Source organism: Homo sapiens, chromosome X (genome assembly GCF_000001405.40).
Source record: "Homo sapiens chromosome X, GRCh38.p14 Primary Assembly".
Classification (NCBI taxonomy): Eukaryota; Metazoa; Chordata; class Mammalia; order Primates; family Hominidae; genus Homo; species Homo sapiens.
This window is the reverse complement of record NC_000023.11, coordinates 116,436,073-116,463,750: the sequence shown is the minus strand read 5'-3', so window position 1 is coordinate 116,463,750 and position 27,678 is coordinate 116,436,073. Positions and strand designations below refer to the sequence as shown.

The 27,678-nt window shown below is 34.3% G+C and overlaps 2 protein-coding genes across 2 annotated transcripts; one reads left to right on the top strand and one right to left on the bottom strand.

The window, feature by feature from the left end:
- On the top strand, positions 775-2,065 carry CT83 (cancer/testis antigen 83). Its single transcript, NM_001017978.4, has 2 exons — positions 775-969; positions 1,744-2,065. The coding sequence occupies exons 1-2, from the start codon at positions 895-897 to the stop codon at positions 2,008-2,010; spliced, it is 342 nt and encodes a 113-aa protein (NP_001017978.1). The 5' UTR covers positions 775-894; the 3' UTR covers positions 2,011-2,065.
- Positions 2,293-27,145, bottom strand: SLC6A14 (solute carrier family 6 member 14). Its single transcript, NM_007231.5, has 14 exons — positions 26,994-27,145; positions 25,796-25,961; positions 22,654-22,785; positions 20,903-21,064; positions 19,961-20,108; positions 18,701-18,833; positions 16,870-17,010; positions 12,081-12,309; positions 10,609-10,734; positions 9,309-9,427; positions 8,675-8,774; positions 8,285-8,394; positions 5,975-6,142; positions 2,293-4,942 (listed from the first exon to the last, which is right to left on the bottom strand). The coding sequence occupies exons 1-14, from the start codon at positions 27,039-27,041 to the stop codon at positions 4,796-4,798; spliced, it is 1,929 nt and encodes a 642-aa protein (NP_009162.1). The 5' UTR covers positions 27,042-27,145; the 3' UTR covers positions 2,293-4,795.

The window sequence follows — 27,678 nt, the reverse complement described above, 5'->3', positions numbered from 1 at the left end:
GGCGGGATCGGTGGGGAGGAAGAGCATCAGGAAGAACAGCTAATGGGTGTTGGGGTAATAGGTGCTGGGCTTAATTAATACCTCGGTGATTGGTTGATCTGTGCAGCAGGCCACCATGGCACACATTTACATATGTAACAGACCTGCAGATCCTGCACATGTATCCCGGAACTTAAAAGTTGATGAAAAATAAAATAAAAATAAATGTCATGGTATAAACTTGAAATTAAAAAAAAATACCTTTAGTACAAATTTGTTGTGAGGTTTATATGTGAAAATGTCCCCAGAATTATTTCTTAAACTGTAAAATGATACAAATGTACATAATTATTCCAATGTAACTAGGGTTGGAGTAAAAGCTAAAATAGCAAGGTGACTGTGGAGGAGGTAGTTTCTGGCAAAGATAATTTGGGGGTAACTACTTTTTACATTACATTTTTGTCTTGTTTTTGAAGTGAATAAAGCAGTGGTTGTAGCAAAGACATATTTTTTAAAAGGTAGGAGCACTTTAAATATTCTATTTAACCAATCCATTTACAGCCTGTCCTTCTACTACCTTTCGGCTTCCCAGAAATCCCAAACTTCCTCACTGTCTTTCACTCTCCTCTCTAAGGACTTGAAACTAACCAGGTAGGCGGTACTAAGTGCCGCCTGGTTTCCGGCAGGGCCGGTTTTTACATCATCTCATTGTGGCGTGGCACCGCCGCTTGCGTGCCCAATTGTGAGGTCTCGCGCCCTCAGCCGTACATAAAGCGGGACAACACAGAACTTCCCAGTTACACCAGGCATCCTGGCCCAAAGTTTCCCAAATCCAGGCGGCTAGAGGCCCACTGCTTCCCAACTACCAGCTGAGGGGGTCCGTCCCGAGAAGGGAGAAGAGGCCGAAGAGGAAACATGAACTTCTATTTACTCCTAGCGAGCAGCATTCTGTGTGCCTTGATTGTCTTCTGGAAATATCGCCGCTTTCAGGTAATGGTGAATGTAAGGGAGATTTGAATTAGATGAAGCTAGATGAGTATATGGACTTGGGAGTGTATATGTAAGAGAGTAAAATACAGTAAAATGAGAGGTAAGGGGAGATCACCTCATCTCTCCTTTTCGCTCAAAGGAGCCCCAGACTTTTACCGCTTACTCCCGCAATTCCTGTATTCTGACCAGTGATTCGACAGTTCTGGTCTCTTCTAAAAAGCCCCAAGTCCCTAAGTAATATGGTCAGCTTTCCACTCATTGGAGATCAAAGTGCAGTTGTCAGTGCCCATTCCCCACCACCATCTCTCCACTTTAAGAATCTTACCTTCTCTCTTTCTTCTCTTGCTTCTCCTCTCCCACGTGTCTGTTTGCTAATCTCACCATCTTTATTTTATGGTGCTTTCTGGGCATTCACAAATAATTCGAGTGTGAATGTGGATTTTCTGGTGTTAAAGTCACAAGTGAGGTGCTTTTAGATAAGAGTCAAAGACAAGGGTTCATATGTTTACCTACTGGGCTGCTTTCCTTACAGGAAATGTAAGGAAAGGATATGGAACTTTGTCACTAACGGCTACTTTCATATATTTTTTTTCTCAGTCTGGTTTTGGAAGAATATATTTTTGAATTAATGTAGTAATTCAATACATTTTTAATCTCGACATATTAGGGGAAATCAGTTTATTTTGGTGACCAAGATTAAACAAGTTGTTTTTCGGTAGTTTGGAAATTGCTTAATTCGATAAACTACGTATGTATAATTCCCTTTCTTTACAGAGAAACACTGGCGAAATGTCATCAAATTCAACTGCTCTTGCACTAGTGAGACCCTCTTCTTCTGGGTTAATTAACAGCAATACAGACAACAATCTTGCAGTCTACGACCTCTCTCGGGATATTTTAAATAATTTCCCACACTCAATAGCCAGGCAGAAGCGAATATTGGTAAACCTCAGTATGGTGGAAAACAAGCTGGTTGAACTGGAACATACTCTACTTAGCAAGGGTTTCAGAGGTGCATCACCTCACCGGAAATCCACCTAAAAGCGTACAGGATGTAATGCCAGTGGTGGAAATCATTAAAGACACTTTGAGTAGATTCATTTGATTGTGTGTTTATACTAAATGAATTATTTTTTTAAGAGGGAGGGGATTCCAAGTCACATACAAAAAATCCAGATACTTACCAAGTTTCTTATTTATACTTTAAGTAATTGATTACATATGGCTAAAATATACTTACTGAGGAAGGAATGGAAGCACAATAGAGAAAGAAAAACAGTTCAAAAGTTTGTTAACAATAAAAAAGTGACAGTAGACGACTAGTTGAGATATAGTGATTTTAATTTCACTCAACTGTGAAAAAGTTTTCATTAATGGTTTACAATACAATACCATAAATTATCTCCAAGTTCGCATTAAAGTAAGTGGGATTTGATGTAAATGTTTTCCATTATGTAGAATGATGTTTCTTGCCACTGTGGAATCTGAGTAATAATAATAAAAACCACCATTGAGCACCCTACAATATGCCAAGCACTCTGTTGAAATCTGTGCTTTACACACTTGTGAAGATAGTGACAAAAACTTTTAACTACTCTTTGTGGTCAGCTTTTGAAAAGAATTTCTTTCCCTTCACACCTCCCCCAATTAGATATTCTTTCATTTAATATGCCCAAATCTTCCCTGAATTGCAAAAGTCACCTATAGAAAATTGCACACCTTAAATAGCACCAAAATGTAGTGGTAGAATGCATGTAACATACTGTGGATTAAAATTAAGGAAAAGTATTTCTAACCTCTTGTTAGCCATCTATTCTCAAATATTTTATAAAATCTGGTATAACTGAGGAATTAACAATCTCCTGAAACTTACTAACAGCATTTGACCTGTCTTCAAAGAAAACCCTTAGAATGGGCCGGGCACGGTGGCTCACACCTGTAATCTCAGCACTTTAGGAGGCCGAGGTAGACAGATCACTTGAGGTCGGGAGTTCAAGACCAGCCTGGCCAACATGGGGAAACTTCGCCTCTACTAAAAATACAAAAATTAGCTGGTGTGGTGGCGGGCACCTGTAGTCCCAGCTACTCAAGAGGCTGAGGCAGGAGAATCACTTGAATCCAGAAGGCAGAGGTTGCAGTGAGCTGAGATCATGCCACTGCACTCCAGCCCGGGCAACAGAACAAGACTCTGACCCCCAGCCCCCCACCAAAAAAAAAAAAAAGGAAAAAGAAAAAGAAAACCCTCAGAATGTCAAACACAATTTCAGCTTATATATACGTACATAACTTAGAGAGGTGGTTCAATTAGAGGCCTACCTATTTACCTACCTTCATGTCCCCTCCCCCCTAAATAAGTTACCAGTATAAATTAAACAAATGCCTTAATTTCTTACTCCTTTCATCTTCAATCACAAGGAAGAGAAAACGTTTTAAAATGTGTAAGAAAAATTATTTCTTCTATTGTCACTCATTTGCCAAGCACAAAAAGCCAGCAGCAGTGTATGTGATTCTTAAACTTCTTTGGGTCACAGTTTTCCTTGATATTCTGATAAACCTACGGACTCTCTCCCTAGAAAAATGCATGTACATGTACACACAGAAAATGTTCCATATAATTTTGGTTTCATATGCTCCCTGAAGCCTAGGTTAAGAAATTTAAGAATTGATGAAAAGCTATTTACATATATAGGCAGTGTTTATCATCATAGGCTATGATGCTTAAACCAGTTGTCAACAATATATAATCAATATATAAAGCTCTTAGTGATATATTTAATTATCCTTGGTAAGGAAACTAGGACATAGGATTTTCTAATTTGGCTTTTCTCATTCTTGACAAGTTTGACAAGTTTATCTTCCAATAGTATGCAAGTTATCACCTGTAAGTAGTAACTTACTCATATAAGACAAAATCACTCTATCAGCCCTGTATTACAGTAATAAAATGCTAGAATTGATTAAAGCCATTTTCTCATTAACATTTAAGTCCATATTCTATTTGAAATTAAACCTATATTTCAGAGAGTATAATGAACAACACTTAATTTTGTGAAACACAATAGAAATTAAATGGGTCATAGTTTTCTTCCAAATTACCTAAGGAAGGAAGATTGTATATGGGAAAAGAGGTACTCAAAACTCAATTTTCTAGATTTATCACTTACTGGCTGTAGGATCCTTATTTTTCCATCTTATTTCACTTTTTATAAAGAACATTAATGACTAAGTTCATATAGAAAACATGAGCTGTAACAAATGCACGAAGTTTTTAAACATATTTGGGTAAAAAGTATTAAACTACAGTCCTCTTATAGTATGTATAGTCCATTTGTCCATATATTTATCACGTTTCTAATTAAGTGAGGCCTTCAGTTTTAACACTTTCTTTCAAATGTGCTGATTTATTTCCCACTCATATTTGTGGAAAAGATAGATTGTATATTAAGAAAATACAAGTTAATAATATTTTTAAACTTGTGTAATAGAAAATATAACTATTCTCTAAGAAATTAGTTCAAAATAAAGCCTCCAATGTATTAAAAATGCATATACTATTTACAAAAATATAATTGTGAAATAGAGACTCTTAGGTGTGTGTGTGTGTGTTATACAGATAGACAATCTAAAAAGAAATATAATAAGCACATGGCTGAGAATTAAGAGATTCACATTTTTATATTGCATTCCTGCTTAAATGTGAAAAAAATCACACTATCATGAACATAGTATGTACATTTTCCTATTCAGTTAACACACAAATAAATAAGGTTCCCCCTATTCTAAAAAAAATCACATTATACAATCATATATTTTTTTCAATGAGATCTCATTCCGGTTTTCTGCTGCCACTAACAGTAGGTATTTCATGGTCAGCCTCTTTTTTAGGATCTACCATGTCTTTATATCTTTCCCCACGATGTTGTTCCAGGTATGGACCCCAGTTAGAAGCTGGTCTGCAGCAACTTATAAGGCGCTGAAATGCAAGAACAAAAAATCATTGTCTTAGAATTTAAGTGCTACAATCTGTAAACAAGCAAATATTGAACTGTACTTTCCTTTAAATTATTTTTTCTCTACTAACAAAAAATAAGCATCATAGAAAACTAAAAAGTGTTCATCTAAATTCTTAATAATGCACAGTTTACCAAGAAAAAGGTATAATCAAATGTAGCTAGTTGTTAATAGAAGTATATTAACTACTAAACCAAAATAGCTGAGCAAGTAAATGATTTCAAAACAAGGTGTGTGAACCCATTAGAGTAACAGAGTGACTACTCTGTACCTTCACTGAATCAGACATTTCCATCCTGGCCTTAGGATGAGGACGAGCTGAGGATCTAAACCAGTGTATACCTGGGATGTGTTTCAAGAACAAAGGAAATGGGAGTTCCAGGATCAAACCACTGATTTGGATCCATTGTTGTATGGACTTAGGAATTTATTTAAATCTAAGGCTGCTAAGCCTACTTTGTCATTGTCCTACTGAGATGTCATAATGAACTTCATACCCCTACACCTCCATGGAAGAGGGATGACTCAGGCTCTAGATTGGGTTCGAGATATTTACCAGGCTTATTCCAGTATAAAAACACTATTAGGATGTATATTATAGCCAGATGAGGTTTAAAAGCAGTGACTATGGATATAAAGCAAACAGGTCATTTGCTTTGTGACATCTTCAGAGACAACTCAACATAGGTATAGATATCATAGCTGTCATATGCTAAGCACCGTAGCAAGGCCAGAGGTACAGCAACAAATAAGACCCGACTTTCCCCACAAGGAGCTTATAGTCTAGCATAGAGAAACACAGCAAATATATAAATAATAAAATACCATGTTGTGCACTAGTAACAGATGACTGTGTCAGGTATAGAAGTAGCCAAGAGGAAGGAGTAATTAATTGTATTTCATACAATCTCATATTACTACCATGTGAGTAAATTAATCTCCATTTTGATCATAACTACTTTGTGTAAAGTATAAACAATTTTAATGCACTCACTTGAAAGATGTTTCCTTTAGCCTGAATTATTTTTATGATAGCCATAATTGGAATCCAAATAATGCAGAAAACAATCATACACCAGCCTAAAGCAACTCCCCAGTCAGGGTATGGAATTGCGCCATAATTAGGTCTATGAAATTGCACCAATGACCAGATAAATATTGCCTGTCAAAGTTAAATATGCAAAGACAAAGCTAAAGATTAGACTTTATTGCACTGATGATTAGCAATTTGATTCTGTTCCTCAGATGTGATTTATCAAAAATAGTTAATATGAAAATATATTCAAATAATTGAAATAATCAGGTAACAAGCCAGAAGATAACAATATGGAATGAACCAAAATATATAACTTTTATTTTTACTTTGAATAAATTTTTCCAAAATTAATACCATCATATATTTATAAATCCAAATACTTGTTCAACATATATTTCAATAAAATACTTGACCATATATCAGATTGAAAGTAAAATAATATCTGAAATTTTCTGTTATTGAGCTTTTCACTTTGATTTATAATAGCATGGTTTTATTCTATGCCATAGATTAAATCTACATGCCAGCATATAGATTAATACAATGAGAATGTGAAGTACACCTTAGTGGGCATGCTTTTCTCCTTGCTTAGGAATTGCTTCTATTCTTTCCCACTGCACAAAGATCCCCTTTTGACACATCAAAAACACACATGCATTTACACACATTATTGGTGAGCATTTACCAAAGCACATTTCACTTCCAGCATCTTACTGAGGGAAAAACAAAAAACAAACAAAAAAACCCTCAATATCTGCTTAGGCAATACAGTCAAATCTGAATGTTAAAGATGAACACATTATAAGGCCAAGTTAAAATAAACCCGAAATGTTGAAGCATTAAAACTAATTAATTAGAAATTGGTAAAGCAAAACAAAACAAAACCCAATAATTATTAAGGAGCTTCCTTAAATTTAGCTGTTTTTGTTTTATTAAAATCAGCGAGAAAACAATAAATAGATCTATGTTTAATTTTAAAATTAAATGGCTTAGCTCCATTAATTTAATTACAGTAATTTAAATATACTTTACAGTTACTATGAATGTACATAACTACAAAAGAATGGATGAGGGATAGTGGAGTCCAATACACATGACTTTATAAAAAATAGATGGCAATGTAAATCATTTCATATCTAATACTTTTGCATTTTAAATTAAATTCAGGTGTCAAACTTATGTAATCATTGAATATTAGCTTGTTAAGTGATCCAGCTAGACCTTCTAAGTTGACAAGGGGGCTTACTTTATTATGGAGACTTGTCAAATAAAAATATTTAGTGTCATTTTCAAAATCATTTAGCAAAAATATGGAATATCCAAATATTTTAATTCACCATGATCTCGTTCCAAACTGCTCAGCTTTTGAAAGTGATCTCATAATGTTAAAAAAAAAAATGTAATCCTCTCTACAAACAAATGTGGTACTTTAGATTTGAAGGAAATCCTGCATAGAATTACTTAATGGTCTTTTCTAGGAAAACCTTTGAAGCATGAAGGCAATGAAAACCAAAATAAATCTATGAAGCTTTGACACTGCCTCACCCCACCACCATTATTTCTAGTCCATAATCATTCTCCCTCCAGTGTAGTGTTTATTTTGGTGCTCAGCCATTTACTGTCCTGAAATGTTATTTGAACATTTTAAGTTGATAAGTTATGTCTCTCGAGTAAGACATACTTTTGCTTTACCTCAGCTTCTAAATAGTATTAATTGTTGAATTTATTGACATAAACCATTGCCCTTATTGACACAGGTAAGTTTCTTTTACTATCATCTGCCAAATACCTCCCTCATTAAGAGATAAAATATGAATTAAAATATGACTGTTGTTTCTCAGCAGTCAGTATATTTAAACTGAATTCTTTGAAGAGAGGATCTGGGCCTTATGCATCTTTGTTTTTTCTGTGCCTGGCAGAGAGGTTAGGAATATTATTGATGGCTCAACATATTTTTTTAGGGAATGAGCAAATTCATGTTTTATTTTCATTTTTTGTATTGATAAATTTTAAATTACTGATAACTTTTACATCTATACGAACCTGTTTATTTTCTCAAATGGTAAATGTTTAAACTGATGGCCTCAAAATAATACTGCAAAGGCATTTTAATTTAGGCAACTTGGAGGCACCAGCCATAAATACTGCAAAACTTGAAAATCATTCCTTTATAAAATTAATTTGCCTTTTGTCTTCAATGTGAATTATTAAGTTTATCTTAGAACATATGTATTATCGAAATCAAGTTCATGGTGTATTATTACTTACAATCAAAAGGATAGGCGTAATTACAAACCAGCAAGCTCTCCACCATAGCCAGAATATCCACCTCTTTGCTCCAATCATCATTTCTGTATCCTCAATGAATCTGTTCCCTCCTAAAGAAAACAAAGAGTACATTGAGTGCTTGCTAATATTTTCTTCCAGTAACCATTATGGCATCAATTATCTTTCTGTGTCTAAACATTTTTCTCTACCACAACAATGAATCATACACCTGTAATTATATTTTTACATAACATAATGTTGTGCAGTATATTGTACTTTGCTATTATAATAGTATAAAAATTAATAGTATAATTAGGTAAATATAATGAAAATGAATCAAACTAAACTATTTTAATAAAACTGGAAAATAATTTTATAGTTACTATTTACCATAAATCCAGATGATTCCAACTAGCTCCAGTATAGCTGCAATTAAAATGCCCCATCCAGCACAGAAGTGGTCAATCAGATGAACCCAGTAAATTCCAGCCTACCAAAAAAATGTTAATTACTTCTAAGTATATTTTAATTGTTTTTATGATTGATGGGATATTCAAATTGAATCTATTTATTTGATCTTGACATATGCTCCTTAGTTTCCCTTCTGCTAAAATGCGAAAAGCAATGTTTCAAATGTAAACTCAAATGTGACTTTAAATATCTCAAGAATCTTTCAATCTATACTGAGTCACTGGAAAGAAAATAAGCACTTAAATTTGTTGATTATCAGAATGGTATGCAATGTCTGTATGTTCTGAAGTGGCTGTGAGAAATGTAGTATGTGTTTAAAGTCTGTAATCTTATTGTAACTGAAGTAACTGTCCATTATTCGGCCTCCTCATCTGCAAAATAGACTTTCTATAAAAGTAATAATGGAGAAAAATGGGCTAAAACCCAGAAAACCTTGATCCAAGTCAGACCTGGACTTGTCACTAAGCATCCTCTTAAGCTTTGGTTTCTTTAGTTAGGTTATAAAGTATGTTCCAACTAATATGTTTCTATGAAAAAAAATGCTGTAGTATACCTGAGTCACACAGACGAGACCAAGGAGAAACAAAACCAAGCAGCAGCCCAAAGTTATGGGAACCCTCATTTTCTTCATCACTTTGGGAAATAAATCTTGAATTGTTGTTGTGATCGTTTCTTCAGAGGGGGAGAAATGACATGTTATATGTCAACTTATTTGCCAATACTGTTAATCACAGAATTCAATGTATGTTAATCAAATTTACAAATATATGTTGAAAATAGACTCTGAGCCCTGTTCCCTGCTTTTAAAAACCCACAGGGTTTTTTCTTTTGGCAGTCACCACTTGGTTCTGATGAAAATCAAATGCAGCGCTATTTGCTGTTTTTAGTCTGCTTTATATGATTTTTCATCGATAACAACTGTAAGGTAACAGTCCCCTGTGAACTGAATTAGTCTAAAAGGAAGAATTCTAGTAGGACTTTTAAATAAGGTAAATATTTGAATCAGTGGTGTGGAAACAGAAAGGATTCTAGGTTAAGAGATAAATGTGTTCATGAAATAGGGAACTGGCTAAGAGTAGAAGGATGTGAGAATGAAAATATCAGAAAATATGTTTGAGATTTTCAAGGACTTTGAAAGTCAACCAGAAAAGTCTAGATTTTATCCTATAAACAGAGTAAACTGAAAATATTGTGTGAGAGAGTGGTAGGATGAAAATTGTTTCAGAATTTCTCTAGTCATGTAACCTAGGTAAATCCCTACGTGTGCATAGAAGTATGTGCAAGGATGATCATTGCAGCAGTGTGTGTAATTTTTAAAAAATTGTATATCATTCATATGCCCATTATTATGGCAACAAAGAGATTGTGATTTAACTAGATCTATATGCCTGTGTATCAATGGGATTCATAATCAATGCAAAAACAACTTTCAGAGTCATATGCATGCTCTGAAACTTCACATTTATGTGCAAATTTAAAAATGTATATGATATGTACAGACATATAAAATGTATATAAACATGGATAGAATAACATACACAATCTATGGTAAGAGTTGCTTCTAGAAAAAAATGTGATTGTATTAGGAAAAGAAAGAGGACTTCAAATTCACCTGTAACAGTTTATTTTCTTAAAATATCTGAAACAAGTATGATAAAATATTAATGTGTATTCCTTTTGAGTGTCAAGTATTTTTCTGTATTTAAATTTTATTTAAAGCAACTTTCAGAAAGATCATTCTGAGATTAACAGCTAGAGGGGGTAATAGGGGTAATAAAAGCACCTTGTTTTCAAGTAGAGGAAATGCAAAAGAAATATAAGAGGAATATGTTACCACTGGAAGTATTACTTACCAATCGAAGCAAACTGAGAATCGAGACCCAAAGTTAAAAGCATGAAAAAAAATAATATGGACCAAAATGGACCACCTGGGAGTTGGGCTAGAGCCTCTGGATAGGCAATGAATGCCAAATCAAAACCTACGAAACATGTATGATATTATAAATTAGTTACCAAGAATATTCACATATTTAAACATTTAAAACATAAGATATTAGAAAAATCTCATCTTATTTGGCAACACAATCCATGACATAAATTTTTTTACCAACTATTTCACATTCCCTTTTTACAATATTGAATTTGGTTGTTTTGTGATGTGATAATGTGAACATGTGACATGAATTAAGTTAGCAAATAGACTGTAATGTAAATGGTACATTTCTCACATAAGAAATTTTAATTCTTTTAATAGTTTTATTTAACTTATCTTATTTTTTAAGATTGACAAAGAATAAAAACTATCTTAAATTCCAGAAACGTAAATTAGTTCACATTATCTTAGCCTAGATGCTCTAAAAGAATTGCACTGTTAAAGAAAGATACATTTACGAACTAACTTTTGTTTTTAACCTTCTCTCCAAATGTTTACCCAGAATCACTATATGCATATATGCAAAATCGTATGTAATGAAACTATAAATTAAATCTTGTTTTCCATTTGATGTTACCTTTAGAATGCTTTTCAATTTTGTGCCAGTTCTATTATGTGATCCTCAGTTTTAAGTAGTTTTAAGTTTCTTCGACCTCCCGGAGGACTAACTTGGGATTCATGAAAATTAGCTTTTAGTCTAGGCTCTATCACTTCCTAAATATTTGACCTTCTGCAAGACATATATGACATTACTGTGTATCAATCCACTTCTCTGTAAATGAGGAGCTGGACACTAGATAATCTACAAGATCCTTGACATTCTGTTATGAATCACCAGTCTTTCCATCATATGATACTAAAAACATAAACAAAATTTTAATGAAGCATCCCTACTTAAAACAACCCTAGTATTTTCCCCCAGAATCTGTAGCCAGATAATTAAGCATCCCTAGCTAATATCCGTAAAGTTAGGGAGTTCACTAAGATTCCTTTAAAGCTAGACACAAGTGGAAACTCAAAGTCACTTGACTCTCTCACCTATATGATGTTCATGTGTTTTAAAAATTCAAACCCAATAGTATAATTGTACAGAGGAAATTTGTATACACATTTTCTTTCTTTTATAATGCATGGAAAGTGCTTAGCAAGGACTAAACAAAATTAAACATCCTATCTTCTTCAGCAATATTTCCTTAATATACTCTTGTTTACATGGATAATCTAAGAATTATTATATTGTTACAGCAACAAAATTATATAAGATGAAATGAGGAAGAAAATTCAATATTCTAAATCATGACTGTGTCAAGTAAATTTCTATAAATTCTATTGGAGTTTCATAAGTGAGATACATTGAATTAATCAAAGTTGATAATATATAGTATTATATACCTGATTTTACAACTTGAGAAACTTCCTTTCCAGATATATGGGCCATGTGTCCCAATATAGAAAAAATAGCAAATCCAGCAAACACGCTAGTGAGACAGTTTGTCAAACAAACCACAATGGCATCAGAGAAGCAGTTGTTTTTGAACTTATTGTAAGATGATAGAGCAACTAAGCCACCCCAAGCCACTGAAAGGGAGTAAAATATCTGAGTGGCAGCATCTTTCCATACCTATAAGAGAAAATAATTTAATATTTTAAAACATATACTCAATTTTTTATTTGTGTAAATATTTCACATAAGCAAATGAATATATTATTAATAACAATGAAATGAACACCCAAATGCCCACTACTCAGCTTAAGAAATAAAATGTTGCAGTCTCTTAAATCCTTTTTGTACCCCTCCCTCATCATTGTCACCCTTCTACCCACCAGTGGCAATTGCTATCCTGACTTCTGTGCTCATAATTTCTTTGTTCTTCTTTACACTTAGATTTGAATGTTTTGTTTTGGAATTTATAGAAAAGTTATCTTAATGCACGTAAACATATACAACGTGCCATTTTTTATTAGGTATTGTGAAATTTATCCATCATCAAGTTGAACTATATAAAATGTCCACTTTGTAATTCAAAAGTGAAAGAATATAAGCAAATTTATTTGGTTAAATTAAATATATGTAGTTTTAATCATTCTTTTCCACTTCTTTTTTGTTTGTTTGTTTTTGTTTTTGAGACAGAGTCTCGCTCTGTCATCCAGGCTGGAGTGCAGTGGTGAAATCTTGGCTCACTGTAATCTCTGCCTGACAGGTTCAAGCAATTCTTGTGCCTCAGCCTCCCAAGTAGCTGGGATTACAGGCATGCACCATCACATCCAGCTAATTTTTTTGTATTTTTAGTAGAGACGGAGTTTCACCATGTTGGCCAGACTGGTCTCAAATTCCTGACCTCAGGTGATCTGACCACCTTGGCCTCCCAAAGTGCTGGGATTACAGGCGTGAGCAACCGCGCCTGGCCTTTTTCCACTTCTTTATTGCCACACTGCATATGTCACAATTTATCATTTCTCCTGTTGATGGACATTTAGATCATTCAGTATGTTGCTATTATGGAGCTGTGAACATTCTTGTACATTCCCCATATGTAGGTGTGTAACTGTGATGTCGAAAAGTATATGTATTCCTCCCTTCTACTAAATCTTGCCAAATTGTTCTTTAAAGGGTTGTACCATTTTGCACTCCCACCAGCTGGCTGTGAGGGTTCCCATTCCTCCGCCTACTTGCAAACACTTCATTTTCCATATGATTTGTTTTTTTCTGTGAAATTCCTGGTCATGTCTTTTGCCAGTTTTGGGTTTGGGCTGTCTTACTCGGTTTTTAAAATTCTTGATGTAATTTGGAATCTAATCTTTTGACTATTATATATGTTGATTTTTTTTCCTCCAAAATTTGTAGGTTAATTTTGTTTACCTTTTAACATTGTGTCCTTTGATGAACCAAAGTTTTTGTTGTTGGTTTACTGTAGCTGAAGGTATCCATCTTTGACTATAGGTATTATCCTTGATCTCTATTACTTTTAAAAAACGGCTAAGCCCAAGGTTATAAAGGTACTATTCTGTATTTTCTTCTAAAGGAATTCAAGTTTTGCCTATATTGTTAAATTTTCAGTTCACCTAAAATGGATATTGTGCATATCAATATATGTGATATGTGAATGATATGTGAAATTTCCAACTGATGTTGTTTCCTAAATGGGATATCAATTGTTCAAGGATAATTGATATTATCAATTAAATCAATTAGATATCAATTGGATGTCAATTCTATCAATTGGATTATCATCCCTTCCCTTATTGATCTGCATTGCCACCTCTGCCACATACCAAGTTCCATTTGTTTTTGAATTTATTTCTGAGACTATTATCCTGTTCCACTGGTCTATATATTTATACCTATGCTAACACCTCACTATTTTAATTAGTACAGCATTATAAATATTGTTTCATATCTGATAGGACAAGTCCTCTTCACTTCAGATACACCTTGGGGTTTTGGCCTTTTTCTTTTTCAAATAAACTTTAGAATCAGTTTTCAAATTTCATAGAAAACTCTTTTGGGATAGATCATGGTTATTTCACTTATATTTTAGAAAATTGTGTTAGAAATAAAATGCCCTCTTTTTTCTTTGGTCATTGCCCATATTAACAGATGAACAGCATGCTCATGTTGGTCTCTGAGCTTCTTTTACTTGATACATTACATGTGCCTGTGTGACAGGGGGAGCTGGAAGTGGGTGTGGCAGTCCTGTGTTGTGTAAGAATGCTACTGAATACCATGATGTGTAGCTAGGTTGCAAACAAAAGGGAAGAGAAATTCCAAACATAGTTTTAATCTCCATATCTGTTAATCTCATACCAATATACAAGATTATTACATTAGGGACTAGGAAATCGTAATTCAAACTTTATTAATTGGCTGTGTACAATTGGCTAAAATCGAATCTATGTAAGTCTTAGTTTCATCACTGTAAAATGAGGGAGTTAGAAAAATAATCTCTGCATTGCTGAAGACTCCTCTATCTATAAATTTGTGTGGTTCTCTACTCTCCTGGAGATCTCAATGAAGTTCAGATATTCAAAGGAAAGGAAAGACACCTGATTATGATTCCATGTTTAGAATATATATTGTGAGGAATAAAAAAAAATCTAAGAAAAACAATTGTCATTGCCAGCAAACCCCAAAAAGAAGGAGTTGGGTCATGTCGTGTTGGAGAGAAAAGGGGTGAGAAGATGAAATTGTTTGTCTCACAAGGAGCTTTAGGTTTCACTCTGATTTTTTAAAGATGTTAGAGTCACTGAAACACAGACCAATATAAAAGTGTCATATAAATTTTTCAGAATGATTTCAAGGAACTACAAAACCCATATATCTTAGGCTTGCAAAAGCCACTAAAAGAATATCAAAGGGGATTTTTAACTAGGCTCAAAGTCATGAGTTTCAAAGAAAATGGTGAATCTACTTCTTAGGGAAAATGTTGCAACTCTAGCAAGATAGTATAATATAACAAATAATTGAAATAATTGTACATTAGCTCATATTTATATAAAATCTTACTGTTTCCAAGTACATTAACATAATTTATCTTGTTCAATAACCTAACATGGAGAAGGTGATGAATGCTAAGTTCCATTTTATTTGTTTCTTATTCACCATCCAAAATGGTCTTCAAATTAGGAAGAGATTAACCAACAGGGATAAAAAGAGTGAGGCCCAAGATAAATGAAGAAACAAATTAAGATGTCCTGTGGACACATCAAAGTATATTAATCTCCAAGACTATAATAAGAAAATTCCATAGATATAAAATAAGTTAAAGCTATGTGATTAATCATTGAGTGGAAATTATTGAGCACAAAAAAAGGTAACCAAAGACCAAAGATTGGCATTTCAGTTTTCAGAAAGGTAATTGTAAATTAATGACAGATTTCCACAACTAAAAGCTAATAAATTTGGCACTGCTTACAAAAAATCTTTACAAGAAATAATTACACATCCTCTTGTAAGTATTTAGAAAAGAAGACAGCAATGGCTGGAAATTAGCATGAGTTTCATGAAGAATACTATAGCAAACTAATATCCATTTTGAATAGTATTAGTAGTATGGCAGATAATATTAACATAGTCTCTCTTGATTTCAACATAAAATTACAGGTTTTTAGTTGAACAGAAGCTTAATGTGTGCTAAGAATGTGATGTGACTAGTAAAAAAGTGAAAGGGCCAGGTGCGGTGGCTCACACCTGTAATCCCAGCACTTTGGGAGGCCAAGGCGGGTGGATCGCCTGAGGTCAGGAGCTTGAGACCAGGCTGGCCAACATGATGAAACCCTATCTCTACTAAAAATACAAAAAAGTAGCCAGGTGCAGTGGCATATGCCTGTAATCCCAGCTACTTGGGCGGCTGAATCAGGAGAATTGCTTGAACCTGGGAGGCAGTTTGCAGTGAGCAGAGATTGTGCCATTGCACTCCAACCTGGGCAACAGAGTGAGACTCTGTCTCAAAAAAAAAAGAAAAAAAAAAAAAGAAGTGAAAGCATTCTAGACCATACTAATAGAAGCATACTATCTGTAGTACACTTACTGTTAATACTCTCAGCAGTCAAATTTTAAAAGATGTTACATGCCAGTGATACATTCAGCCATTATCTGAAGGCAAAGTTGAAATAGGGTTACCCAATTCTTATTCATGGCACACGTTTAAGTTTTTGGTATAAGTAACAATTTTGGAATGCTTAATCCATTGTCAAATTTATGTTTTAACTTCACAATTCACTAGACAAAATTTGATAATATTTTGCAAATATTAAATTTTGAAGAAAACTAAAATGTATATTAGACTATTAAACTTTCAACAGTAATCTCTAAAGCTAGTCTGAGTTTATCCAATAAATCACATAGCCCCAATCATCAACTTGCGGGTATTTATGCATGAAATATTGTTTTTCAGATTAATAAGCCTGAAATTTTGTTGGTCAAATAGATTCAGTTTATATGAATAAAAAATGACTTTAAAAATCCTATTTCTAAAAATTATCTCACCATCAATAAAAGAATATTAATGGCAGGTTAAATATTAGCTAAGTCAGACATCCTAGTGGATAGAAACTAATAAATTTAACTGTATATTATTTTGCAAGCTATTACATTATGATATTCATATGGAACCAAAGATGTTTGGCATTTACTTTTAAGATTTACCTCCTCAGATAATTTGAAATCCAAATTAAGACTCACCTCAGCTTCCTTAAGTTTTGTAAAATTTGACTGGGCTCCAATATAGTATGAAATGCCTTTTGAAGCACCCTCCAGAGTTGCACCTCGTACTAACAGGATGAGTAGGACCACATAGGGGAAAAGAGCTGTAAAATATACCACCTACCAAGAAAAGTAACCAAAAATTAGTAAATTATTTTTAAAATCATGGTGTATAACTGTATACAAGTAAAATTATTAGCCAGTTGAGATTAATTAAATAAAGTACAGGGGATTTCATAGGGTCTGATGATATACCAAAGTTAGCATAATTTCTTATTTGTGTCCTCACTACTCTCAAATGATCCATTTCAAAAATAATTTGATGTGTTAATCCACATTTCCCAGGTTTATTCTGTAAATAAATAATACATCAGCAGTGATAACTTGGGATCTAAATGTATTGCTCTGATAAATATATCTTTATACATGTCTGAGGAGACTGAATGTCTTCTCTCAGTAAATTACTGCATTGAGGTGAGGAGAGAAATGATTTAAACCCTGCATTGGTTAATATATATTCAGTCTTCAAAGAAAAGGAAAATATTTCCTAGCAGATGTTCAAATCCCAGAAAAGCATATTGAAGTGAATACTGGACACTTGTTACTGTTATCCTTACAGCTACCATTAAGAGAGTTTGATAGCATACATACAAGTGCTCTGCTTCTGTACTAGATAACACATGGTTCCAGATGAGCAGATTGCCTTTGAGACCAGCTTTGCCTTAATGAGGATGATTTCCTTGATCCATAGATGTCCTATGTTTTATAATACATCCAAGGAAATGGTTTAAACAAGTCATTCAGAGACCAATAAAAATTAATCGCCTGGGTAAATGGCCTTTAATGGACTCTTTCAATATTAACATCAAAAGGAAACCAAGGGTTTAAAAAATGTGCAACTAAAACATTTTGGAAAGTTTTCCCTGGATTTGTGATATTCACAGTATTTTTGTGATGTAACAGCATGTCTCATCACAACTTAACATTAACAGAACGTGCTAGATATTGTACTGAGAATACAAAGACAAGATCCCCAGTTATTCTTGTCCTCCACCTTTAGGGAAATATCCATTGACTAGTTAAAAACACATAGACATTTTTTCTGGGTATTGTGTAACTGTTCACAGAGAAAATTTCATGTTGTTTTCTTAAATTACCATTATTCTCTCTGCAAGTTTATAAAAGTAAACAATGAAGTGGGAAAATATAACAGAATGTTTTTCAGAAGAGGCCCTTTCACTGAGAGAAAAAGTTCTGTGTCCATTTTGGCAATCTTTAAGAGAATGAATATATAGTTTGTGTGTATATATACATACACACTCACACACACACACATACACACAAACACACACATTTCTCTCTCTCTCTCTCTCTCTCTCTCTCTCTCTCTCTCTCTCTCTCTCCGACTAGGGGATTCCTGATACTATTACTCTATAGAACAAGGATCTAGACTTTCCAAACCATACATTGCAATGTATGATTCCATTCAAGATGCTTCTTTATATAGTAGGATAGAAAATTTAATAATATACTCTTAAGCTTCAGAATGCTCTATCAGCTAAAAGGGTCCATGTTTTTAGGAAATGTGCACCTCTAGTACCAGTTTTTATTTTGTTTGTTTGTTTTGTATTTAGCAATAACAGAGATCCTATGTATTTACTTAGAGCTTAAAATCACTATTTAGAAAGCTTTTCACACATTTGAATGCTCCCATTATAGAAAAAAAACATGCTTTTGGTAATGCTTGATATTGAACTACCATGAAATTGGAAAGCTGCTATATCGCTATCTAATGTGTTTTTCAAGTTACCTTGCCAGACGATTTGATTCCTTTAAATAGTGCTGCTCCAACTATGAGCCAAGCCAGAAGAAGACAAAGTGCTAAATACCAAACAATTACTCCAGTCTCATTCATTCCACTTGACCGTTGGAGCGCCACTTTACTGAAACACATAAGCCATTTTATGATCACAGAATCACTTGACTTAAAGAAAATACATTGAGTTTTGTAATACCATTTATCCAGGTCGAAGCTTCATGAATATTGTATCTTATTAATATATCAAAGTTCGGTGAGCCTTTATTGATAGATACTATCAATACGAAGGGCACAGATAGTTTATTAAATGGCCAGGCTCTGAACTTCAGTTAACCACAGCCAATCCAAAGTTTCAAACCACAGAATAAAAGATCTACTGATTCTTTTAGCTATTACTTTCCTCTGTTTCAAGATCCTTTATGTAAATAAATTGACTTTATGTCAGATTATTTTATTTTACTATTACAGTATTTTCTCATGTTAAAATAATGAGGAAAACATTTACAATTATATTAAATATTTCCTCATTCCATACTTATAGATATCATCAAACTCAAATGATCCTGTTATTCACGCCTTTTCCACAGACTTTCTGTAAAATTCCAAGATTCTCACTAGGTACATGCATGGATCTTATTTCTAAGCTTGAAGTTTGAGAACATTTGAAGATCCAAAGTTTAAAAGAGTTACAAAGGTCATTAACAGTGGATGAAGAAGAGGTCATTTAGCAGTAGAGTCAACAATATTAGGTAAGAGTAATGGATAGATATAGAGTAAGTAGAGAGATCGTTTGAAATTAATAAAAGTAAATATAACACTACATATCTATTCTTACCATATAATGACAATTGTAAACAAAACTGCTGAAGAATTACACTTTTTTAAATAGCAATATTACTCATCACCCAACTATTTATCATTACAACTTGATCATTGTAGTCTAAAATTTGTATGTGTTTTCTTCAAAGCAATTTCCTAAATCATAGCTAATAAACACCTCATAAATCATTACAGTGTTGTGCCCATTTAATAACTAATTTATAAAAGACACATTGCTGACTATGAGCTAATTTTGCAGGTAACTACTAATCACCTGGGATAGGTAGACATTTGAGTTAAATGAAATATAATTTGTCCTGATTTTCCTTTTTCTATTTATGTGAGTTAAGGAAGGAGATGATTAATGTTTTGTTGTTTTGTACAAATTTTAAGATAACATCTACTTAAAAGTAAATCATCTAGTATACTTACTTCCAATATTGTTCACTGGGAAGCTGCCCTGGCTGATAAATTTCACTGCCGTTGATGCAGGTAAAATTGTTGATGTCTACCCAGCTTTTATTCATTTGGATGATCTCTTGTATTCCTTTATTCACTGTACTCACATTACAGTGAGTTACTAAAGAGGATAAAAAATATAGACACAGACATGTACTTAGTTTTAGAAGATTACTTTCCTAGAAAATGTTTTAATGGTAACATATTTAAATTATCATCAAAATTGTTACTTGAAAAAAGTGGAGTAGAAATCTTACAGATGGAATAAGCTATGTACATTCAGCATCTTAAAATCTTTTCTACTAAACTAGGAGGGATTACAAAACTGTCTGCCCTTTTAAGCTGTGATTGTATTTATAGTAACAACAGGTATAGAGTAACAATTGTTTCAGTTGAGGTTTAGTGCTCTAACAAACTTTTGTATGTGGATTTACCTATCCAACCTATGTATATAGACAAATTAAGGCCTTTAAACTTCTCGGAAGCATTAAATATTTATAAATTTATCCTCTGATATACATAGGTAATTAAAATGGTAATAGTCTATGACATGGATGGTACGTTATCCCAAAGATTAGCAACATATGACATGAACAACACCTACTGTCTCCTGAGACACACACAACTATCCTAGATAGCACTTTTCTCCCTTTATCATTTTCTCAGTTTCTCCTCTCCTGCCCAAGACTTAGGCCTGGAAGAAGTACTCTTAGGCATGATTTAGCCTTCCTGACTGCTCTCAGAGATTAATACATTGTATTAATCATTTTTCTGATTATATATGCTATCTTCTGCTTTCACCAGTGACCTTTGGAACATTTAAAATTGTACCTAAGTTGCTTAGAGAATGATTTGACCCTTCAAGCTTATAAAAAATATATATAAAAGAACTATTTGGGTGTTGACAAATTTTACCTATTGGTGATCTGCTACAGTTTTTATCTGACCACGAAGAACAATTTTTCCATGGTAGTTCACTTTGAAAAGAAGCAAACATGTAGTAAAGACTATAGGCAATTATGACATTGTAATAGATTGTCACAAAAATGGAGATCAGGACCATTGTAATTCCCACACCTGGAAAAAAAAGAACAATTAAAATAAAAACCAAACTCAAGTAAAATTTACTTTGCTAATTCATAAAAAAGCTGTATCTCAATTACCACAAAATCTATTTTAAAATAAAAAAGACTGTTTCAGGCAGGGTGCGGTGGCTCATGCCTATAATCCTAGTACTTTTCAAGGCTGAGGAGGGTGGATCACTTGAGGTCAGGAGTTCGAGACCAGCCTGGCCAACATGGTAAAACTCTGTCTCTACTGAAAATACAAAAATTAGCCAGGCGTGGTGGTGCATGCCTGTAGTTCCAGCTACTGGGGAGGCTGAGGCAGGAGAATTGCTTGACCTTGGGAGGCGGAGGTTGCTGTGAGCCTAGATCCACCACTGCACTCCAGCCTGGGCATCAGAGTGAGACTCTGTCTCTAAATAAATAAAGACTGTTTTAAATTACTTTTTTCCTTTTTCTTTCTGGGAGAGTAGGGGCTAATGCTGTCTGAGTAATTTTCTTCTAAATTTAAATTTAATTTTATGATTGGCTTGCTGGTGCAGTTTCTTAGTTGATTAGAAAGGGTATTAAGGCCAAGGCCAGAAGACTTGTGGTAAGCGCATCAAATTCACATAAAGAAAAACCCATGTTTATTACTTTTTCTTGTTAAGCCTGCAAATTCTTGTCAGATCATGCAAAGTCGACATTCTTTAGACAAAAAAAATTCAAAGCTTGTATCTTATTTACTCACTGACCAATACAATATTCATCTATAAATCAACATTTTGAGAAGTAGAAAATGAAGCCTCTAAAATAATGACCTGGAGGGATGGTGTAGATATATCTACAACTATGTGTAAAGAAAATTAAATAATTCAGTAACAATCTGAATTTAAATATCCAAAGTTTCCTTAACTAGGTAGTTTCAAAATGCAGTTTAGCGTGCTGAATATAACTCCAATGCTCAAAACTAGCTTTTAAGGTAGTTTCTCCACTCTTCCAGAACAATATTCTATTCACCTCACTATGAATTTATTTTTGATGTTGCATTGAAAACAAATAATTTTCAGCAGCTAGCACATACCAAAATGATATTTAATCTTCAGTCAAAAGAGGTAGTTTGATGTTTAATAACAAGGCATTTTTAAGCTTTACCAGTGTCCTATTCTATTAAGAGCATCCAAGAAAAAAAATGGTGGCCTACCCTTCAGCTTTTCTGAATGAGGCATTGTAAAAGATATGCAAAGGCAGTAAGACAAAAACTACATATGAAGTAGAAAAAAGTTAGGGCCTTTAAATTAGAGCATGAGACTATGTGCCAAAAGAATTCACAGGGTGAAAATAGGAAAATAATGACACCCTTCTAACCATCTTTAGCGTGCTTTCTAATCCTTCCCATTTCTGCAGCCCATGATAAACAGAAATAAAAACATTTGATTTTTTAAATTCTGCAGTGGCAAACTGTACAGCAAAACAACAATAATGCATGTTTTCTTTGCTTTAAATTGTCAGAATTTTAAGCAATTTTTTGTTCCTCACAGTGAAGGTAGCTATATGCACAAATATACAAAAAAGCATGGTGAAGAAAATGCTTTAATACCAAGAAAACGCTTTAATACCAACCTTGAAACAATGGAAGAATCCTCCAAACTGAAACTGGACCTAAGCTAGCAAATTGTCCCAGTGAACACTCCAGAAAGAACAAAGGTAAACCAGCCAATGCTAACATAATTGCATAAGGTATCAAGAAGGCGCCTAAAAAAGGTGAGAAAGAACCAAAGCACTATTACAGCTCGAAGTCTTGATGGCACTTTGACAACCAGCATAACACTTTAAAAGCATCCTGATATATTGGAATCAAAGAGCGCTGGGTTTGGGCCTAAAGTTCACTGCTTTCTATGAATAAGTAGTTGATTCTTTAAACCTTGGATTTCTCATCTATGAAATGGGGATGCTAGTATTACCTAATGAGGCTGTTGTGATTATTAAAAATGGTAGAGTATAGAAAGTAAGCCAGAGGAATTGAGCGATCCCAGGCATTGGAGCCAGGTAAACCTAGGTTGAAATCCTGGCTAGACCATTTACCAGTTATGTGACCTCCAGCAATTTGCCTAACATCTGAATCTTGGATTCCTTATAAAAGGGGAGAACAATGCCAACTCAGTTTGTCATAAGGGTTCAAATACAGGGCCTATGTGAAAACACTTGCCAAAATGCCAGGCACATAGCCCATGTTCAACATTGGTTATCTTTCTTTCTCCTTTAAAAATAAATGGTCTATTTTTAAGACTTGGAGTTAAAATGCTAATGTGGCTCACAGTGTAAGCTATTGCAATTAAGTTTATTATTCTCCAAAGAGTCACAAGGTTCTTCACTCAATGTTAATACAAAATGTATTGGTTTTGTTTGAAGACTCTGAACTTTTGAGAAATACTTGTAGTTAACTTTCAATTTCACAAGGAATAATTCTCCCACACTAGACAATTCACCTCCCCCATCCTTTTAACCTTTTATCATTTTCCTTTTTTTTTCTTTCCACTTTTGGGGCATAGTATTTTTCATTAGAAGTTTTGCCAAATTATACGTTGAAGCAAGGGCAGAATATTAAACTTATTAATAAAACATTCCAGAAGAATTGGCAAAGTTTAATAAAGAATGTGGGGATCAGTGGATAAAAATGGGTTTTCAGATTGTATACATTTAATTTACTCATGTTACAGTTTTGCCTCAAGTATTTTTCATATTATGATACTGTAACATCATACCTAGGAATAACATTTTTTTCAACTCTCAAAATACATTCTACTAAAAATGAGTCTATAAAGAACTTGTTATTTATTCATAGGTAAGTGACTTACTTTAATACTAACCCTGGAAGTCACTAGACCATAGGGAAAAATATGTTTGTATAGATGTTGCAATGTACATACCATCTTTACTATGACTAGTAGAAGTTTAAGTCCTATGAATGACAAATACGAAAAAAAAAATACAACTGTTTAACTACAACAATAAACAAGCTTTACCAGCCGAGTGTGAACAGGTATTTTTTGTTAAAAAAGATTATTTTCTTCAGTGTTATACCTGACTTTTCACCTATTATATTATTTTATTATTAATACTATCCATAGATGATAAATTGTTAATATAGTTAATATAGCCACAAATTGTCAATACTGCAGACCTAGACCTTAAGGTGGTATGACACTTCTCTTTAATAAACTGTTAAAAAGAATATACAGATAAAAATATTTCCAGATTTTAGAAACAACTTTTCAAACCTGACCATATTTTTAAACCTAATTCGCATTTAACAAATTTTAATTTCATTTTCCTCTTCTACTCTTGGATGAAAGAAGGATTGAGAGTGCCTAGATCATCTATTACCCAAATGATGTTTTTATAAAAAATTGAAAGCCAATACGGCATATTAAATTTTAGAGGAAATGGTGAAAAAGATAATAGCATACAATTAATATTATTATTTTTGTTTTGGCTATATTTTAAAAGTTTCTATTAAAACTAGTTTAATATAGTTCCTAGAAATTTGTGGCAATTACTGGGCCTATGTATGATGTCAAGGCACAGGGAATTTCTTTTTCTAAACATGAGTTACAAGAGGCTCAAAATGATCCAGAATGCTTCTCTTTACCACACTGGACCTTAGGACAGAGACGGAAATAAAACTGTGATTTCTGATGCATTTTCCAGCTAATATTCGATACCAAGACAACTAAATGACCCAGCTTCTAGATAGGGGAATTCATGCTACTGACACTTAAACGGTTTAATAAACAGAGCTTCTTTCTTAAGTCTCTGAAGACCACTGTGAATATTTTAATGTAACCAATTAATAAGAAATATGATTGAAATATCACCACACAAAATCCTATTATACTAAGAAAAATAATTATAGTGGCACAGTCTCACTGGTACCCAGTTATGAAATATAGGGGCATGTCACCTCTATACTTCTAATAGAACCTGTAATTACGAGTAAATAAAATATGGTGTAAGTGAAAAGTTGTTTGGACATTACTAGAGAATTGTGCAATTCATTTTGTTTCCCTTTGTGTGTCACCTCAAAGTGATTTTTCTCTCCTTTTTCTAATTGAGTCTACCCTAATGATCTACAAGGTATAAACAGTGTTTTTTTGCAGGAATAAAACAACAATCCTTGAACTAAATTATTTCATTTTAGAAGGATCTTCTACATAGTCAGTCCAATTTGGAATACATGTAACTCAATATTGCAACTTAAAATACTAAACCTTTAATTACTTTTTAATCATCTCTTTCAACACTTAAGTCACCAAAATGTAATGCATTATTTTAGTTAAGCAAATAATTTATTTGAGCTTCTTAATAGAACTTATTTTTCTGTTTATTTCTGATTCAGCTATAAATTAAGCAAAGCACAACTTGAGTTTGAACAGATTATCACAGAAACATGCATAAATTAGGAAAAGTATGTCATAGTTGAAGATTATGTGAGATCTCAAATCAGAAGCTTAGAAGTGCTAAAAATAAAGCTTTTTATCAAGTTTATACCTGAGGATTTTGTGAAACTAGGTTTCTAACTTGAGCTGGTAACCCAGACTAATAATAAATTCAATATGCTTGTTTCTCATTCTCCCACTAACCCAAACTGTCAACTGTCATATGCCTTCCTTCAACTCGTAAAATATTCTCAGAAGCCATACAGAACCACACTTAAAACTGGAGGGAAAAGCGGGGGTGGGAGGGTGGGGGTGAAATAGAATACCTCCACCATTGCTGTAGGTCAGATATGGAAATCTCCACACATTTCCTAATCCCACTGCGTATCCAATCATAGATAGAAGATAATCCGATTTTTTGGACCAGTTACCACGGTCCTGATTCTCATCATTTTCACCAACATGGAAATTCTCTGATGAAGCCGACACTTTCTGGGGAAGAAAAAATATCAACAGCTTGCCTTTCTACCATTACAAATTCCACAGAAGCATAATTTCACAAATCCATAGAGCAACAGAAAATGGGGGGAAGAAACCCTGAAAACCATAGCTGAGGGGAATGCTTTAGAAAGTTGGGGAGATTTCTGCTGATAGCTGCTTTTACTTTACAACATTTACCTCTTAAAATGAGCAAAGTTCTGTAGGTAGATATGTTTATTACTCCATCAGCTAAGATTATTCAAATTTTGGTAAAAACGTTAAATGTGACAGCAGTGTGAGACACAAATGAAAGCAGACAAATTAGGTTTGAAATACAAAGGTCTTTGTCACACTGGTGTGAGGGAAAAATGAAAGTAGACAAATCAGGTTTCAAATACAAAAGTCTTAAAGATGAATTAGATAAAGTCATCAATATTGATATTGTAGCAGATCTTTGAGCAGGATCAAATGTAGTGTCTGCTGGAAAAAAAAACGAGAATCTATAAACTTTTCTTATGGCTTGATAGTATTGGATGTATCAAGTTAAGGGTAGTTTAACTTTTCTTTGTCTTACAGATTAAAATCAATGCCTTTCTAAAAGCCGTAGAATAATATGCAGAGACAAATTCTCCTGTCTCACCAGATGAAGTAGCTCTCTCTCCACTTGGGAGGGAGAGAAGGGACAGGGGTTCTCTCCCAACCTGCTCACTTCTCTGGGGTATGGAGGGTTCTTTGGGTCAATTAAGAACAGTGTACTTTTGTACTTTCCTCTAGCATGTGGACACAGTTAGGAGAGGGATAGAGAACAGGATTTTGTGGGTACTCCCAAGGCAGAGGATGAGGTGGCCCTAAGTCTTCTAGCTATGAGAGTAAGAGCTTTTCTTTCTTCTCTACTCTATAGGTATATCTCAGTCACACCTAATAGTTGAACAGAAATGTGGAGCACAAGGAACAGCCACAGAAAGCAAAAACTGAGACTAGCAACCCCCCTTAAGTTTTCCACTCTCAGGTCCTCCACACCTCCCGCAGCTCCCAGACCCCTACCTCCTTCTCCCTGCACTTGAAGAAACTCGGGCATTTCAACTTGTCCATGGTTCACTCCCTCGGCTGGCTCCGCCTCGCCTCCTCTTGCAGTCTGGCTGAGCTTGACTGGTAGCAGGTGCACTCTCCCCTGTTCCTACCTGCCAGAGTGAGCCACCTTGCCCAGGGGTGGGAACATTTATGAAGAGAAGCTCTCTCCTCCCCCTCCTGGGTGTCCAGTAGTGTCAATTACCGGAAGGGACTAAAGTGAGGCTCTGGTTTTTCCCCAGATAAGCCTACATGTAGCAATCTCCTGCCCCAGCCCTGGGAAAGGGCTGGGCTGCTGGAGAGCAGAGCAGTCTGAGCCGAGATGACTGACAGCCTTTGACTCAGAGCTGTGTAGGTACGTTTGCAATCTAGCCGCCTTTCCTGGGTCCCCTGTTTCCTCCTAACCTCGCCTCTCAGTCTGGTCTCTGTTCTGGGGCCAAGTGCTGATCTGTACAAGTGCTGGAGGGAGAAGGGGGCCATTCTGTTCCCCAAAATTCTCCTGAACAGACCATACCACCCTGGGTCCTCAGATTTCCCAAAGTTTTGCCCCTGACTAGAAAGCACTTGATTCCCTGGGGCAAATGCTGCTCCCAGAGGAAAAGCCCCTGAATTGGGCACCTTGAAAAGCAGCCATCTGAGATAAGATTACCCAGCTGGCTCT